The 17,134-nt window shown below is 41.9% G+C and overlaps 1 protein-coding gene and 1 long non-coding RNA gene across 31 annotated transcripts in view, besides 5 other annotated features; one reads left to right on the top strand and one right to left on the bottom strand.

Moving 5' to 3' along the window:
• Window positions 1-17,134, bottom strand: part of KIAA1217 — an 853,117-nt gene that overhangs the window by 100,738 nt on the left and 735,245 nt on the right. For all 30 annotated transcript variants that reach the window (NM_001098500.3, NM_019590.5, XM_047425513.1 and 27 more), the window contains 2 exons: window positions 13,913-14,111; window positions 8,627-8,720 (listed from right to left, as the gene is read on the bottom strand). In NM_001098500.3, the coding sequence (NP_001091970.1) occupies window positions 8,627-8,720; window positions 13,913-14,111 (293 nt within the window). The remainder of the gene's footprint in view (window positions 1-8,626; window positions 8,721-13,912; window positions 14,112-17,134) is intronic.
• Window positions 6,263-6,312: an enhancer, noted in NCBI's record as "active region_3159". NCBI's record gives its function as "activates an Ori minimal core promoter by ATAC-STARR-seq in GM12878 lymphoblastoid cells {active_cell/tissue: GM12878}" and the evidence as "EXISTENCE:reporter gene assay evidence [ECO:0000049][PMID:35858748]".
• On the top strand, window positions 7,640-15,715 carry LOC124902395 (uncharacterized). The gene is made up of 2 exons (XR_007062090.1): window positions 7,640-7,716; window positions 15,478-15,715. It is a non-coding gene; the product is annotated as an uncharacterized LOC124902395 (long non-coding RNA).
• Window positions 12,985-13,661: an enhancer, noted in NCBI's record as "OCT4-NANOG hESC enhancer chr10:24722374-24723050 (GRCh37/hg19 assembly coordinates)". NCBI's record gives its function as "activates a minimal SCP1, AML or CMV promoter by ChIP-STARR-seq in naive H9 embryonic stem cells {active_cell/tissue: H9 hESC(naive)}" and the evidence as "EXISTENCE:reporter gene assay evidence [ECO:0000049][PMID:30033119]".
• Window positions 12,985-14,698: a biological region, named in NCBI's record as "CDK7 strongly-dependent group 2 enhancer GRCh37_chr10:24721337-24722536".
• Window positions 13,499-14,698: an enhancer, noted in NCBI's record as "CDK7 strongly-dependent group 2 enhancer chr10:24721337-24722536 (GRCh37/hg19 assembly coordinates)". NCBI's record gives its function as "activates an origin of replication core promoter dependent on BRD2, BRD4, P300/CBP, MED14 and CDK7 cofactors, with strong dependence on CDK7, by STARR-seq in HCT116 cells {active_cell/tissue: HCT116}" and the evidence as "EXISTENCE:reporter gene assay evidence [ECO:0000049][PMID:35650434]".
• Window positions 14,007-14,643: an enhancer, noted in NCBI's record as "NANOG-H3K4me1 hESC enhancer chr10:24721392-24722028 (GRCh37/hg19 assembly coordinates)". NCBI's record gives its function as "activates a minimal SCP1, AML or CMV promoter by ChIP-STARR-seq in primed H9 embryonic stem cells {active_cell/tissue: H9 hESC(primed)}" and the evidence as "EXISTENCE:reporter gene assay evidence [ECO:0000049][PMID:30033119]".

Below are 17,134 nucleotides of genomic sequence, written 5' to 3'. Positions count from 1 at the left end.
TATGGAAGTTTCGAGAAGGGACAGTGAGTGGTGAGGTTTGGAAAGAAGTGAGAGAGGCTTGATGAAGAGAGTGGCTTCTGGGTTAGGTCTTCAGAAATGAGAGGCCCATGGACATGTGGCGATGACTCATCGACACACTGATGAAGACAGTGGTGGGAAAGGACGGACGGTAGTGACCACAGGCATGATTACAAAGGCCAGTTCTAGAGTTGGCCTGCCTGGCTCTAAATTCAGCTCCACTTCTCTTTAGCTGGGTAGCTTTGAGCAAGCACACTGACCTCTCTTAAGCCTCAGCTTCCACTTCTGAAACAGGAGAATAATAAGAACTTCTCTCACATTGTATAGGTGTGAAAATCAAATGGCAGTAAATACAAGCAAATTGCTCAGTATGGTGACTGGCACAGAGTAAGCACGTCAGGAATGTTAGTTATTGATACCGTTGTCATTGCATGAGTGAAGGGGATATTACAGGTGGGTCAAAAACGATCTCTAAATAGATTATCAGCTAGGAGTGTTTTCTGAAACTTCCATTTCTGTGGGATTCTTTTGTTACTACGGGATGACTTGATACTCCCTGAATCCCAAACCCCTCTTCTCAACAAGAACACTGCCCTGTGAGAAAAAGTGCTCTGAGTTCAGTGGCCACTGCAGACACACATACTAAATGGGCAACTCACTCTTTTTCTTTTCTTTTCTTTTCTTTTTTTAATGGATATATTTTTAGTGTGCTCAGAAAAGAAGAGAATGAAGCAAAATTAAATATAAAAAGATACCATGAAAGAGATGTATAATGAAATTAAGCAACCTACTCATCTGACAAAGTGCTAATATCCAGAATCTACAATGAACTCAAACAAATTTACAAGAAAAAAACAAACAACCCCATCAACAAGTGGGTGAAGGATATGAACAGACACTTCTCAAAAGAAGACATTTATGCAGCCAAAAAACACATGAAAAAATGCTCATCATCACTGGCCATCAGAGAAATGCAAATCAAAACCACAATCAGATACCATCTCACGCCAGTTAGAATGGCGATCATTAAAAAGTCAGGAAACAACAGGTGCTGGAGAGGATGTGGAGAAATAGGAACACTTTTACACTATTGGTGGGACTGTAAACTAGTTCAACCATTGTGGAAGTTGGTGTGGCGATTCCTCAGGGATCTAGAACTAGAAATACCATTTGACCCAGCCATCCCATTACTGGGTATATACCCAAAGGATTATAAATCACGCTGCTATAAAGACACATGCACAGGTATGTTTATTGCGGCACTATTCACAATAGCAAAGACTTGGAACCAACCCAAATGTCCAACAAGGATAGACTGGATTAAGAAAATGTGGCACATATACACCATGGAATACTATGCAGCCATAAAAAATGATGAGTTCATGTCCTTTGTAGGGACATGGATGAAGCTGGAAACCATCATTCTCAGCAAACTATCGCAAGGACAAAAAACCAAAGACCGCATGTTCTCACTTATAGGTGGGAATTGAAGAATGAGAACACATGGACACAGGAAGGGGAACATCACACACCAGGGACTGTTGTGGGGTGGGGGGAGGGGGGAGGGATAGCATTAGGATATACCTAATGCTAAATGATGAGTTAATGGGTGCAGCACACCAACATGGCACATGTATACATATGTAACAAACCTGCACGTTGTGCACATGTACCCTAAAACTTAAAGTATAATAATAATTAAAAACAGAAATGAAACAAATGTTTAATAAAGCATATTTTGTTTGTTCTAAAGTCTTAGTAGGAACATCACTTCAAAATTGCAAAACTTAAATGGAAATATCAAGGAAGGGAGGCTGTGGGCTGTGTATAAACAAGCAGAAACAAGTTCAAATCCAGTGTCCAACATTGATCAGATGTGTGAGCTTGGGAAAGACCTCTTTGGCTTCAGTTTTATCACCTGTGAAAACGAAGTCAGTATACCCACTTTGCCAGAGTTACTGACTAATTTAAATAATATGTAAAGTACTTAACACACTGCCTACTCTGCAGACACAAAAAGGTTTGCTATCTTCTATCTAGAACAACGATGGTAGAGAATGAATACTATTTATATCCTGATAGATTGCACCAAGAAATTAATAGAGTTCCTATACATTTTTACAGTTTTACAGAAAAAAGAAGTCAAAGTAGAATGTGCAACCAAAGGAAGATGAAAGTAGGAAAATTAAAAAGAGAGTCCAGGAATGAAGCCAACACACAAAACACACGCCACAAATGCCTGTACCCTTGCTGTGGGTGGGCCACAAATTTAATTCTAAGCTTTAGAGTAGCAACACAAAGAGGGAAAATGATCACTTACAAGACTCAAAGTGTCCATATGATAAAAATAAACCAGGAGAAGCACAACTATTTCTGGTGATGAGAACAGAGAGATATTTTTACAGTGGGTCCTCATTAATGATAGAAAATGAATAATATGGCATTTGTAGGACCATCAGTAGGACACTCAGCGCATCCTGTTTAACAAGTGTGTTTACTCTGCACTCACCAGGGGTTAAGATGCCATGACTGGTTTTTGGAGGGACGTGAAGATGAATCATCACATAATATGGCTTGTGGCTTTGAAGAGTGTACAGTCTTTTGCATGAGATGAACACACAGCTAAATGATTATAACACAATGCGAATGTGCAACAGGCCCCCAAAAGGGAAAGATGAATTCTGACAGAGCATTAGCGAAAGCTTCCTGGGGTAGGAAGTCTTTTATTTGGGCTCTAAAAACAAGTTTTTATTATTTTGTAAAAGATTTTATTATGGGCTGGGCATGGTGGCTCACGCCTGTAAATCCAGCACTTTAGGAGGCCGAGGCGGGTGGATCACCTGAGGTCAGGAGTTCGAGACCAGCCTGGTCAACGTGGTGAAACCCCGTCTCTAGTAAAAAATACAAAAATGTGCCAAGAGTGGTGGTGTGCACCTGTAGTCCCGGCTACTCAAGAGGCTAAGGGAGGAGAATTGCTTGAACACGGGAGGCAGAGGTTGCAGTGAGCTGAGATCGCACCACTGCACTCCAGCCCGGTGACAGAGTGAGACTCTGTCTCAGAAAAAAGAAAAGAAAAGAAAAGAAAACAAACAGATTTTATTATGAAAATTTTCAAACACAAAAAAGTAGAGAAAACAATAAAAGGTACCCCCATCATCCAGCTTTGACATTTTTCAACATTTTACCATTTTGTTTCATCTACTTCCACCTTTTTGTTTTCTTGGTTTGCTGCAGTATTTTAAAGCAAGTCCCATTTTTCATGTCATTTAACCTGTAAACACTTTAGTATGTTCCATCTTTTAAAACATAACCACTAACCTATTATTATGCCTAACAGAATTACCAGCTATCCCTTAATATCTCCTGATTCCTAACACATGTTCAAATTTCCCAAATAGTTTTAAAGATGTCTTTTACAGTTGCTTTGTTCTTCTCAAAATCTGAAGATGGTGCACAGGCCACATTTTGTTATTATGGTACAGAAGACCCCCGAGAAACTTAACTGTGCTCCCTCCCCCACTTTTTTTTCATGACTGCAATTTGCTGAAGGAATTAGACAATTGTTCTGGAATATGTTAGATGAGTAGAATTTTGAAAGGCAGATATGTAGAGAGGGAGAGTGAATTTGAGACACTTGGAAAAAGAGAACAGGAGAATGAGATGTGGGAAGTAAGAACTGTTAGGTGATTCAGTAGAGAGATAATGAAGGCTATAATTTCAGCAGCCACGGTGCCTGGGTTTAAATCTCTGTTCTGCTACTCTCTGGCTGTGTGGCCTTGGGGAAATCTCTTAACATAAGGAGCTGTCTCATCATCTGTAAACAGGGGGGCTTATACCAAGACCTGGCTCAAAAGTTTATCTTGAGGATTAAATAATTAACATTACTGTCCAGGCGCAGTAGCCCACGCCTGTAATTTGAGAGGCTGAGGCAGGTGGATCACCTGAGGTCAGGAGTTTGAGACCAGCCTGGCCAACATGGCAAAATCCCATTTCTTCTAAAAATACAAAAATTAGCCAGGTATAGTGGTGCATGCCTGTAATCCCAGCTACTCAGTAGGCTGAGGTGGGAGAATCGCTTGAACCTGGGAGGCAGAGGTTGCAATGAGCCGAGATTGCAACACTGCACTCCAGCCTGGATGGCACAGTGAGACTCCCTCTCAAAAAAAAAAAAAAAAATCCCACAAAAGTGCTTAATAAATGCTCAAATAAGTTAGCTATTGTAAGAATACTGGTACAGGCAGTGGCAGAAGGGTCATCTGTTAGAGGCCTTGCAAAGTGGAGTGGATGAACTCTGGTGACCAGCTGGATGCATGGAAGAATAAAGGTCAGGCAAGAGAAGAATCATTGGTAACTCAATGTTTTACATCCCTCCTCCCACATTCCCCAAAATATGCATGCATACACACACAGGCACACATGCATGTGCACACACATACACACACACCCTATCATAGCCCCTCCATTCTTCAAAAGGTAATCAAGAAGGATAAAGACTTGAGTGGAAAAAAGATTAGGAATTTTTTCTTCAACAGAATGCATTGGAAACCACGGAAATGATCTCCATATGAAGACACTTAGAAGCTGAACATTTGGGTCTTGAATTCTAGAGATGGCAGAGTTAGGGATATGGCTTCAAGGGTCAACCACACTGATGTAATAGTCAAACAAGTGGTAAGATAAAAATCACAAGTGCAAAGGTTCAGATAAAAAAGAGTAAATTTAAAAAAACAAAACAAATAAACTCCAAACTAGAGAAGCCTGCTTAAACACAGGCAAGAGGAAGAAGAGTTAGGGAATGAAGGAAGCTGAGGTGTCTGTGAATGCAGACAAGGTATTTAGACACAAAAGTGCCATGGAGACCAATGATTTATAAGGGGACCATTCACTGGTGTCAAATACAAAGATCAGTAGAAGAGGGGTGGGAGGCAGCAGTTACCTTGGGTATTGGGGAATAATTTAAGAGGTAGGGCCAATCTGGTAATTGTCTATATACAAGTAAAAATCAAAGACATGCAAGAGAAATTAAAGGAAGCAGAGAAGAGGGAGAGTATTAAATGATGAGAGCAGAGAGTCTTGGAAAGTTGTCTTAAAGCACACAAGAAGGTGGAGAAGCCCCCACACTATGAAAAAGCCACCAGGTTTGGTGACTAGCAAGTCACCCTCAAAGCAGAATTGTCCAGTTCCTTCAACAAACTGCTGGTATGGAAAAACGTGTACTTTTTGAGAGTCATGAAATGGAATGGTTCCATCTTCAAGTTGTACATTTGTGAATTTAAAACCCTGTGAGTACATATATAAATTTTGCAAAAGGGCCTGTTCCATATGGTGAGCTCAGTCCCTTGGGAACTGAATTATCAAAGCTCCTATCTGATGTAAGGAAACAAAAGCCACGCAATTAAATTAGATCAGGGTGGTGGGTAGAGAAACAGGAGCCAGGTATGCTGAGTTCCAGCCGAGAACCACAAGTCTCCTTAGACAGACTAGCCTCAAAAATGCTCAGCTAGATGCTAGATGAAAATTTAGTACACGTTTTCCCCACCAAGCATGCATTCCACGCACACTCTGAGGCCTAGTCTAGCACGCTTCCTGAGTAACACATTTCCAATCATAAAACCGCTCTGGGAAGACTGTTTTAGATGGAGAGTTTTACATTTTCTTTTCTTTCAAAGGCAAGATATTACATTCATTGGTTAAGGAAAGTCTCAGGAGCCCCTGAGGAGTTCTGGTGTGACTTTTGTTGCCCCTCTGCTTATTCCAACTGATGTTTTTCATGACATGCATGTTTATTGGTCATAAGCAGGCAGCTGGGAGGTCTGTGCCAGGCTGTCTCTGGAGGCTGGGGAGTGAGGTCTAATGACATCAGGGGCAGGACTGCAGTGACTGACTCATGTGAGTAGTTAGCATCGAATTCCTTCATGGCCACGCTCACATTGCAAACATAAGGGAGGACGGAGTTCCCTAACCCCACGCTGCAGCGTGGTTTAGTCTACAACAATTGATGCTTGCTCTGTTCTCTGTTTCTGTTCTCCACCATGGGCAGTGGGTTGTGCAGCTGGGCTCCAGAGGCAGGGCTCAACAAAGCTTCCTGCCCTTTAATGGCAATGCAGCCACATTCATCAAGAAAGGAAAAAGAATTCCAACCTGCAGAGCCAAAAGGTGAGGGCAGCTGAATTCCATGCCTTTTAGCGTCTGCAATCTGTGAACAGGAACCAAGTTGCAAACTGCAGGCATGATCACACCTAGCTGGCTTTGAAACCGCTTTCTATTTCTCATTTCTAAGTAATCTGCATTGAAACACAAAAGCTTTTCTGCTGGTTAGATGGTGAACATTTACTGTCCCTTCATTTGGGGACAATGATTGAGTTTCTCACACACACAAAATGAGGGCTTAAAGTAGGCTCTGGGTAACCCAGAAAAAGTGATCAGCAGGGTTTCATCTTGAAGTAAGAACAGAACCACTCTGCAGAAACCCACAGCACATGTTCTGCATATCCTGATCAGCTTTGTTCATACGGTCAATATTCGATACTCTCAGTCCTCACTGCTGGTCCTTACGTAGGTACCAGAGCTGCTGGAGGGTTAAAACAGGTGTCTTTCCAGCCACAAACAAGATTCTCAGAGGCGATTCTGGGGCACCGGTGTGGAAATGGCTCTATGTGATAGGAACAGAACTCTCAGCACCATGGAACTCCAGGGTGAAGGCTAGACATAGCAAAAAATAAAGATATTCAAGGAGCGAAGACATTGATGAATGTCTCCAAGAAAGAGAATAACAGAGTAATAAAAGGCAAATGGTGCTGTAATATTTAGTCCATGCTTCACGATTGGCATGACTCAATCTGTCTCCATGTGGCTCTGGTTTACACATAAAGTATAACTGGCAAAATAAGGCTGAAAATCCTAGAATTTCTGAAGTAGCGACACAGCTTTCAATTCAAGTCACACATCATTTCTGACACAAAAATAACAGCAGTTGAGTACGTGAGAGGCCTTTCCCTCCAGAAGTGTAGGCTCTGATCCCACAATGTCGTCATTCATATTCCAGTCCAGAAGGACAGACCTTCTCCCAGCACTTTCAGCTAGATCTGCTGGCTTCTTTTATGGTTCTAAACTTACCCAATATGGAAAGCAGAATGCTGGTCCCTGAAAGATGTCTGCATCCTAGTCCCCTCAACCTGTGACTACATCAGGTTACATGGAAAAGGGGGAGTCAAGATTGCCAGTCAGCTGACCTTGAAATAGGGAGATTTTTCTGGAGGATCAGGGAGGCTCAATGTCCTTAAAGTGTCCTTAAAAGTGGACATGGGAGGGTTAGGGATGTGAGCATGGAAGCAGGGTCAAAGGGAAGCTATCTTGCTGGGTTTGAAGATGGAGGAAGAGGACAGCAAACCAAGAAATGTTGATGACCTCTAGAAGTTGGGGGAAAAAAAAAAAAAAGAAAAGATTCTCCCTAGGGCCTCCAGAAAAGAATGCATACCTGCTGGTGACCCCTTATGTCAGACCAGAGACTTTCAGTCTACAGACTCTAAAATTTAAGAGAGTAAATCTGTGTTGTTTTAAGTCACTGAATTTGTCCTAATTTATTACAGCAGCAACAGGAAACTAATATGTACTATCAGGAAGCAGAGACAGCCTCGCTCAGGAACAAAACTGCAGCTCCAAGACAGAACAGTGCCTGGGTTTCTTTGGCAATAAAAGGTAATCATTTATTTATTTATTTTTCTAGCTAAACTTGAGCATCCAGCCAAGTGCTAATCTGTAGAAAAGATGAGAAAAAATGGCACAGTGTCTTCCAAATGTGTGTGTGTGTGTGTAGGGGGTGTACAGCTGAGAAGCTAATCTTCTTTTTACCTCCCAGTTTTGCTACAGAGGAATGTAGCCTTATTTTTAGAAACTCAATCCCTTTCTAGTGGACCTGCATTAATATGATCTTAAAATCTGCTTTTTCAGTTTCTCCTTCTTTTTTCTTCAAAACATCCCTGTGTGCTTTGAATGTTTGGATAATCTCCTGAGACAATCTAAAGCTAGAGAATTTTAGTTCCCAAATCATGCGGATTTTTGTATTATGACCTCAGCATGGCTCAGAGAGGATATGGTAATATTTAAGACAGTACAACAACAAAATTCTTCCAGGGTAGCTCCTGAATTAGAAGGTGAGAAATTGAATTAGAATGTTAGAACTTGGAAGAGCTAATGTAAGAGTATGAATAGATTTTCCATGCAATTGTGCACCTTGCTGTTTGCCTTTTTGTATGTTAGGTTTGCTTTAATTGGAGAAAGAAATGCAAGAGATCTTCTGAGTCAGTTAATATACTGTGGACCAGGGACCCTTTTATAGGAAGATTTTCAGAATTCATTTAAAGTAAGGACATAACTCCTTGCTTAAAGATAAATTAGGATGTGTCCAGCCTTATTTTAATCCCTTTGCCCTAAATAACCAGGAAATCTTACTTCTCTACCAAGAACAAATAATGATCCACTAGGTGAGATGAGTGCGGAGAACCCTCCAAAACTCAGTTGTAGAGTTCTGATTACATCAGGAGTACAAGCAAGAGGAGGGACGCTTTGACCCACTGAAGATAAGTAAAAATATGACAGAAACACTTACCCTCATGTCTCCATTCATAGTTTTTGGTGTGTGATTAAACGCATGTGCAGGATCCTTGTTGTACACTTTGAGGAGTGATCTGTCTTGAATGTTCCTGGAATCAAAAACATCGATAACTATGGCAGATGAAAGAAGCCTGACTTTGGCCATTTCCTTAGCCTGCCCTTAAAGATCAGGTAAAAAACATGAACAGACAATCCAAAGGCTATCTACAGTACGCCAGTCAAAAGCTATGTGACCATAAAATAGGCAATTATAAATACGGAAAAGAAGAAGAAAAATGACTTCAGCTTTTCTCTCCTTTTCTTGTTCCCCAAGAAAGTATTATTCCTCCAGTATAGTTCCCCACCCATAAATGTTGGGTGGCACGAACTTTCTTTCAAGATTCCGAGTATGGAAACTAAGGCTTTAAAAAAAAAAATAAAGTTCCAATATTTACAATACATTCAAAGAGATTTGGTTGATATTTAAATATTTAATTGTTTACTTTTCCCAAACACCTGGTTTGCTGCTTATCTAATGAATGTACATGAAAGAAGATTTTTTTCTTTTTCTTTTTTTTTTTTTTTTTTTGCCTTCAAACACTTTCGGCAACTGAAAGAAAAGGTATCTGGAGTCCAGAAAAAAAAAAAAAAACAGTACCAAAAAGATCTAATATCTTTACCATGCCTTTTTTCCTTCCATAGTGGGTTAGAAAATTAGTTTTTCTATATACAAATCGAATTGCTGGATGTGAAGAAATAGCAGCAGATAAATTCTTCTTTTTTCTCTGAACCCGGCTCTTAGAGCCAAGGTGTCATAACGTAGCAAAAGACAGGATCAGAGCCTACCTTAAAATTATCGAAGAGCACATGAATATCTATGAAGTCTCTCTCCCTCCATGTTCAGCTTTCATCAGCAGAAGGGCCACCCAAGGCCCTTTTGGCTCTGTCTACACTGTGATCCCTTCCAATGCCGGCTGGGCTAGCTCAGAGAAATGTGGGCAGGAGGAAGAATTCCTCTCTTCCAGGTGCAGCCTCATTTAGTGGGCTGACCCAATCACTGGGATTACTGGCTTGTGTTTCTGTTTTAACTGAAGTGGAGGATTCTTGGACTAGTCTTCTCTTTCTCCTTTAAATATCCGCCAGTAATTGCTTTGAAGCAATGACTAGCCCAAGCTTGCACGGTTGCTCCAGTAGCTTGTTAGAAGTCGGCTTGAGGGGGAACCAGCAGCCCTGTTATTAAAGGGGGCTGGGTGAATATGAAGGGGAGACTCACAGAGGTAAGGATGTGGGGTTTCACTAAAGGAGCTCCCCATTTGGCCAGAGGAAGGAGTCACAGGCGAGGACGTGAAAAACTAGAAAACCTCACGGGAGCCATGAAAAAGACTAACTGTGATTCTGGAGGTATTTAAAATGCATGAGGTTGGTTTATCATGACTTTAGAAACATATTCATCTGAGATGAACCAACAGTAAAGGCCGGGGTTGCATTTACTGTGGCAACATTTACAACACAATATTCTGACCTGAACTCTCCATAGCATTTCCCTAAGGAAAATATGAGGAGCCTAACACAATGATGAGATAGGCAACTGTTTAGCAAATATGCTCACGCTTCAGAAACACTGAAGGAAGTGCAGTGAAATTTGTCTCTGAACTTAGAAGATTAAAGTCACTGTCTCCAGTTGAAATCTACATGATACTTTTCTTTTGTCTTTTTTTTTTTTTTTTTTTTTTTTTTTGAGACGGAGTCTCACTCTGTCGCCCAGGCTGGAGTGCAGTGGCACCGTCTCGGCTCACTGTGAGTTCCGCTTCCCGGGTTCACAGCATTCTCCTGCCTTAGCCTCCCCAGCAGCTGGGACTACAGGTGCCCGCCACCACGCCCGGCTAATTTTTTGTATTTTCCGTAGAGACGGGTTTTCACTGTGTTAACCAGGATGGTCTCGATCTCCTGACCTCGTGATCCGCCCACCTTGGCCTCCCAAAGTGCTGGGATTACAGGCGTGAGCCACAGCGCCCAGCCTTTTTTTTTTTTGTCTTATATAATGCTGGTGGTGAAAATTTCTTCTACCATTCAAATAAAATATAATCAAGGCATTTAATGCATAAAATCAAGAAATAGAATAATTCTTTGGAAGCGACATGCATGTGCTCACATAGCATAAACATTACTGTCATCACCAAATAAAACATTGTCTACATTTGAACATTTTTAGGTTCTTTTTTTTATTTAAATCAAAGTAACTGAAAAGTAAAATTACAGACAAATTTATAAATCGGTGATCTTTCCACTTAAATATTTTAAATGAGAGTTTTTTAAAAATAACTTTAGGCTATCAAGCTGGGAGCAGTGGGTCACGCTTATAATCCCAGCACTTTGGGAGGCCGAGGTGGGCAGATCACTTGAGGTCAGGAGTTCGAGACAAACCTGGCCAACATGGTGAAACCCCATCTCTACTAAAAATACAAAAATTAGCCTGGCGTGGTGGCGCACACCTGTAGTCCCAGCTACTCGGGAGGCTGAGGCATGAGAATTACTTGAACCCAGGAGGTGGTGGCTGCAGTGAACTGAGATCATGCCACTGCACTCCAACCTGGGCGACCGAGTGAAATTCTGTCTCAAAAAAAAAAAAAGTTAGGCTATCCATACTACAACTTACGGATCAACAAGATCATCATTTTCACAAATATCAACATATTGACTGATGGTTTCATTTATGTTATCAACTAGATTTCCATTAAGGAGAATCATGACCTTTTCTTCTTTTTCCTCCCTCTCATTTCTTTTATTTTGTGACTACTTCTCGACTTTCCCAAACAATGTAAAAAAGAAGGCAAAGTAGCCATACTTTGAAGCTTGAGAAAAGCTCTAGAAAATGGTGACTCATTGTAATATAAAAATCCTTGCACAGGCTGCAAGACAGTGAGGCCCAATTACTCATAATAACCTCATCAGCCTTGAGCTCCATAATCAAGTGTGGCTTCCCTAAGTTGCATGTTTACTTGCTATTACTGTGTCCTTCAATTCCTCTAATTGCAAAGGCAGAAATGTAAGATGATTGTTGTAACTGGCAGCTCCATGTAAAAACAGTATGTGGGATTATATTACTACAAACATTGTCTTTAAATATAATGTGATTATTTCATGTTTCAAGTTTACGCTTTGTGAATGCAAAAAATTTCTTTTGGTGACAGCTTGATTAATAATTTAGTTTAAAAACAAACATGAATTTTTGGGTACCCATGAATATTTAAACACATTTTTAAAAAGCTGTAAGGTTGTGAAACAGATGTAGTATCTATACCTTGAGGCATGTGTCAAACTTTGAAAGTTCTAAATTACTCATACACCTGGGCACATGCCTAAATATGTCATTTGTGATCATTGGTAGATACAGATCAGTTTACATTTATTATGCACTAGAGGCATATTTTTTAAAAGTGGTACCCATTAATTCCATGATGAAGAAACAGGGCAACTTGCTATTCCCCCCAGGGTGTGGACTCAGAAACCCCAAGTTCTGCCTCCAGTGATTTGGTGAGGGAACATTCGAAGAAATCAAAAAGTTCTTGACCAAGAAGTGTGAACAGCCATATTTGGGGCAGAGCTTGGTACTTAGCTGGCTGTGTGCTTTTGAATAAGTCCCTCAAATTTTATGCGTCTGAGTTTCTGGTTCCATAAAATGAAATGGCTGGATTAGTCACTAAATAATCTGTGGAGTTCTAAAATGTTTAGAGACCATACTAGCAACTGATTGCTTGTGTTGATCTAAGTCCTGTTTTCCAGGTTGTTTGGTTGGAACAGATCAAATGAGTTCTTTCTACTGTATACATGACACCAAAATGACAATAAAGATGCTTTTGAGCCAGGTGTGGTGGCCCACGCCTATAATCCCAACCATTTGGGAGTCCGAGACTAGAGGATTGCTTGCCTCAGGAGTTTCAGACCAGCCTGGGTAACATAGGGAGATTCTGTCTCTACAAAAGATTAAAAATTAGCCAGATATGGTGGCATGTGCCGGTAGTGCCAGCTACTCGGAAGGCAGAGGTGGGAGGATCATTTGAGCCCAGAAGGTCGAGGCTGCACTGAGACATGATCATGCCACTGAGGTCCAGCCTGGGTGACAGAGCAAGACCCTGTCTTCAAAAAAAGAGAGATGAGGCCAGGCATGGTGGCTCACACCTGTAATCCTAGCACTTTGGGAGGCCGAGGCAGGTAGATGACCTGAGGTCAGGAGTTTGAGACCAGCCTGACCCACGTGGTAAAACCCCGTACCTACTAAAAATAGAAAAAAATTAGCTGGGCCTGGTGGTGGGCGCCTGTAATCCCAGCTACTTGGGAGGCTGAGGCAGGAGAATCGCTTGAACCCAGGAGGCGGAGGTTACAGTAAACGGAGATCGCACCATTGTACTCCAGCCTGGGCGAAAGAGCAAGACTGTCTCATAAAAAAAAAAAAAAAAAAAAAAAAAAAAAGAGAGAGAGAGAGAGAGGGAGAGAGAGATGCTTTTGTTTCTAACTGACTCTCAATCCCATCAATAGCAGGAGTCCATTTAGCTTAATTTTGGAGGATATTCAACTGGGGGCCCTGGGGAAAGGCCACCTGGAAAGTAAGATCTTTGGGTAAAGGACAACTCTTTAAGAAATGAATGGAAAGTGAAGATGCTTCTCAGTCTCTTTTCTTATGGAAAATAATACAGAGCCCACTGCTTTTATTCTAACTTGTTATGTGTAAATAACGACCCAGTGGGATCATTACCTAAAATGTCCACAGGGTCTTTCTATGGAGGAAAGAACACTTGAGGGGGAATTGGGAAAGTTCCAATATGAATGAAGTACTGCCTACAACTCTTAAGACCTCGATCAGGTCTCTCCGCTACCTTTTTGGGCCTTAGTTTCCCTAACCCTTAGATAAAATGGTGGACTGAATCATTTCTAATGTTCTTTTCAGATGTAGCATTCAAAAATCTGTGGCGGAGAAATTTGTCCTCGTTTTTATAAGCTATACCCTGTAAATGAATTGTAGAAAACCAGATAGTGAAATCATCTGACTGGGTGAAATAAGCCCAACCAATCAGGATAATGAATCTGCTTTCTTCACTAGGATATAAAGAAATTAGAATTTGGTATAAACTCTATGAAAGGGATATGATGGACCAAACAAAAAACAAAAAACAAAAAACAAAAAACAAAAAAACACTCTAAATGCAATATAGTGGGTAAAAAAAAACCCCTCAAAAACAAAAAAACAAAAAACAAAAAAAACTCTAAGGCAAAATGGCAGGCAAAAAATGATGTCACAACTTACCTTACATCATTTAATTCATAATAGACATTTCTGCTTTCATCTTTGATGTAAATGGCGACACTGGGCGATTCCAGCATTTTCATGGTGAGCTGCTGTGGAAAGGCACTTACGAAGAGAGCACGGATTGTGTCTGCACTTGTGATTTCATTCGGCATCCTGAGCTGCTTGGTTTCATCTCCATACTGGAGATAGAGAACCCCTGCACACAAAGGAAACAGTTATTAGTCACAGGTCAAGACTCAGGGGACACACAGCACAAGCTGAGCCACTTCTTTCCTGCTGCACTTAGGAACGTTCAGGACAAGCTTGGCAAGCATGTAACAAGAGATCTAGGTTTGGAATTTCCAAGGAATGCACTGTTTGGTTATTGTGTAAGTACTCACCTTCGTTCTTTGAAGTCCAAGCAGGTGTTAAAGAGCCTAATTTTCAAAAATTCAAGGGCTGGGTGCAATGGCTTATGCCTGTAATCCCAGTGCTTTGGGAGGCCATGGCAAGAGGATTGCTTGAGGCCAGGAGTTCGAGACCCACCTGGGCAATGTAGCAAGATCCCATCTCTTTGGAAAAAAAAAAATTAGCTGGGTGTGGTGGCACATGACTGTAGTCTCAGCTACTCAGGAGGCTGTGGTGGGAAGATCACTTGAGCCTCAGAGTTGCAGGCTGCAGTGAGCTATGATTGCGCCACTGCACTCCAGCCTAAGTAATAGAGTGAGACCCTGACTCAAAAACAAACATGCAAGAAGCAAACCTCTGGTAGCCTAAAGCAAAAGACAATACTTGGCCAGGCTCGGTAACTCACGCCTGTAATCCCAGCACTTTGGGAGGCTGAGGCAGGCGAATCACTTAAGGTCAAGAGTTTCAGACCAGTCTGGCCAACATGGTGAAACCCCATCTCTACTAAAAATACAAAAATTAGCTGGGTGTGGTGGCACATGCCTGTAATCCCAGCTACTCGGGAGGCTGAGGCAAGAGAGTTGCTTGAACCTGGGAGGTTGCAGTGAGCTGAGATCACGCCACTGCACTCCAGCCTGGGCGATAGAGTAAGACTCCATCTTAAAAAAAAAAAAAAAAAAAAAAAGGACGATACTTAATTCCTTGGAAAGGTATATTTAGAAATCTGACCTCATAGAGTGATTTTTTTTCATGTCTTTCATTAACTAGGAACACAATCATTATAGCCATGGGTAAGCTACATAGCTTAAATCTGTCTAGTCCATTCAGAAACATTTTCAGTGGAAATGCAACAAGATTTCTGTGGTTCTAATACATATTTATTGAATGTTCATATCGTGCTAGAATCTGGCACCTCAATGTTTCAGAAATAAAATGGAAAAAGCACAGGATCCCAGAGTTCCCAGGGGGTATGTGGGCCCCAGTGCACCCTGCCTCCTAGCACTCACCCATCTGTGGAGAGCAGCTCTGTTCCACGTTGATTCTGGGCTTGGCTGTGTGACTTGCTTTGGCCAATGGGATATTAGCAAGTGTGATGCAAAAGGAAAGCTTGATATGTGTTTGCACCCTGGAGTTTGTCCTCTTGGTGAGCTTGGTTTGGGGATGTTTCCTTTCAGAACTCAGCTTCTGAGGAGTCCAACCCAGCCACACGGGAGGTCACATGCTGAAGAACCACCCCATCTAAGCGCCCATTTTACAGCTGGAACCACTGAGGTTATGTGGATGAGCCGTCTTGGGAGTGGTCTCCCCAGCCCCAGGTGAGCTACCCCAGCTGATGCCAGCAGAAATGAGATGGCCCCTCCAAGCACTGTCCAAATTGCAGAATGATAAGCAAATAAATGACTGTCATGTGAAGTCACTATGCTTAGGGTGATTTGTTATTCAGAAACAGATAACTGAAACAGGATATCCACAATCCTGACACTGAATTTGAGTCTTGCTTTTTGTGAGAATCTACTGGGGGTGAACTACTACCACTGGAGTAAACTTTGGAAAGGGAGACTCAAAAGAGAAAAGAATGAATTCCGGTTCAATATGGCAGCCCATGTAATACATTTGTCTCTGCTTCCTCCAGAAATTCCATTAAAGTGACAATAAGGGATACAAAAGCATACATCAAAGAAGTAAGGGAATGAGAGAGGAACTAACAGTAGACAAGAGCAAGCTGATACCTAAACCTTCAAGGGAATAACTCAACATAAAACAGGCAGAGCCAGGGAAACTCAGGAAATGAGGCTCCCAACCCTTCTGAAGGTAGAAATGCATAGTGAGTTGAATGCATGATGCCTGACTGAACTTGATTTTAAAATGGTGTAGCACAAAGGTCCCCAGCCTTCAGGCCACAAACCAGTACCAGTCCTTGGCTTGTTAGGAACTGGGCCACATAGCAGGAAGTGAGCCATGGCTGAGCGAGGGAATCTTCATCTGTATTTACAGCTGCTCCCCATTGCTCGAATCACTGTCTGAGCTCCACCTCCTGTCAGATCAGCAGCAGCATAAGATTCTCATAGGAGCGTGAACCCTACTGTGAACTGCGCATGGTGAGGGATCTAGGTTGCATGCGCCTTAAGAGAATCCCATGCCTGATGATCTGTCACTGTCACTCATCACCTCCAGATGGGACTGACTAGTTACAGGAAAACAAGCTCAGGGCTTCCACTGATTCTACATTATGGTGCGTTGTATAATTATTTCATTATATATTGCAATGCAATAATAATAGAAATAAAGTGCATGCTAAATGTAATGCGTTTGAATCATCCCAAAACCATCTCCCCCTAACCCTGTCCATGGAAAAATTGTCTTCCACAAAACCGGTCCTTGGTGCCAAAAAGGCTAGGGACCACTGATGTAGCAAATGTCCATCTCTCTTCCCACCCCACCCAGCCAGGTAGCCACCCATCACATCCACAGAAGATGGAAGAGTCCACATCAAACACACTGGATTCTGGCTGACCAAGCATAGGGGAAGGGGCTGATATGCCCTCGACCGAATGCTGGCAAAGGGGCCAGCTCCTTAGTCAGGACACTGGAGGGTCCTCTCTAGGAATGCTGAATGACCCATGAGAAGAGACAAACTTTTGTGTGTATGTGAGAGACTGAGTCTTGCCTTGCTCTGTTGCCTAGGCTGGAGTGCAGTGACATGATCAGGGCTCACTGCAGCCCCAACCTCATGAATTCAAGCTATCCTCCCACCTCAGCCCCCTGAGTACCTGGGACCATAGGAGAGAACCACTACACCCAGCTAATTTTTTGTATATTTTTTTTAGTGAT

Source organism: Homo sapiens, chromosome 10 (genome assembly GCF_000001405.40).
Source record: "Homo sapiens chromosome 10, GRCh38.p14 Primary Assembly".
Taxonomy (NCBI): domain Eukaryota; kingdom Metazoa; phylum Chordata; class Mammalia; order Primates; family Hominidae; genus Homo; species Homo sapiens.
This window is presented reverse-complemented; position numbering and strand designations above follow the sequence as displayed.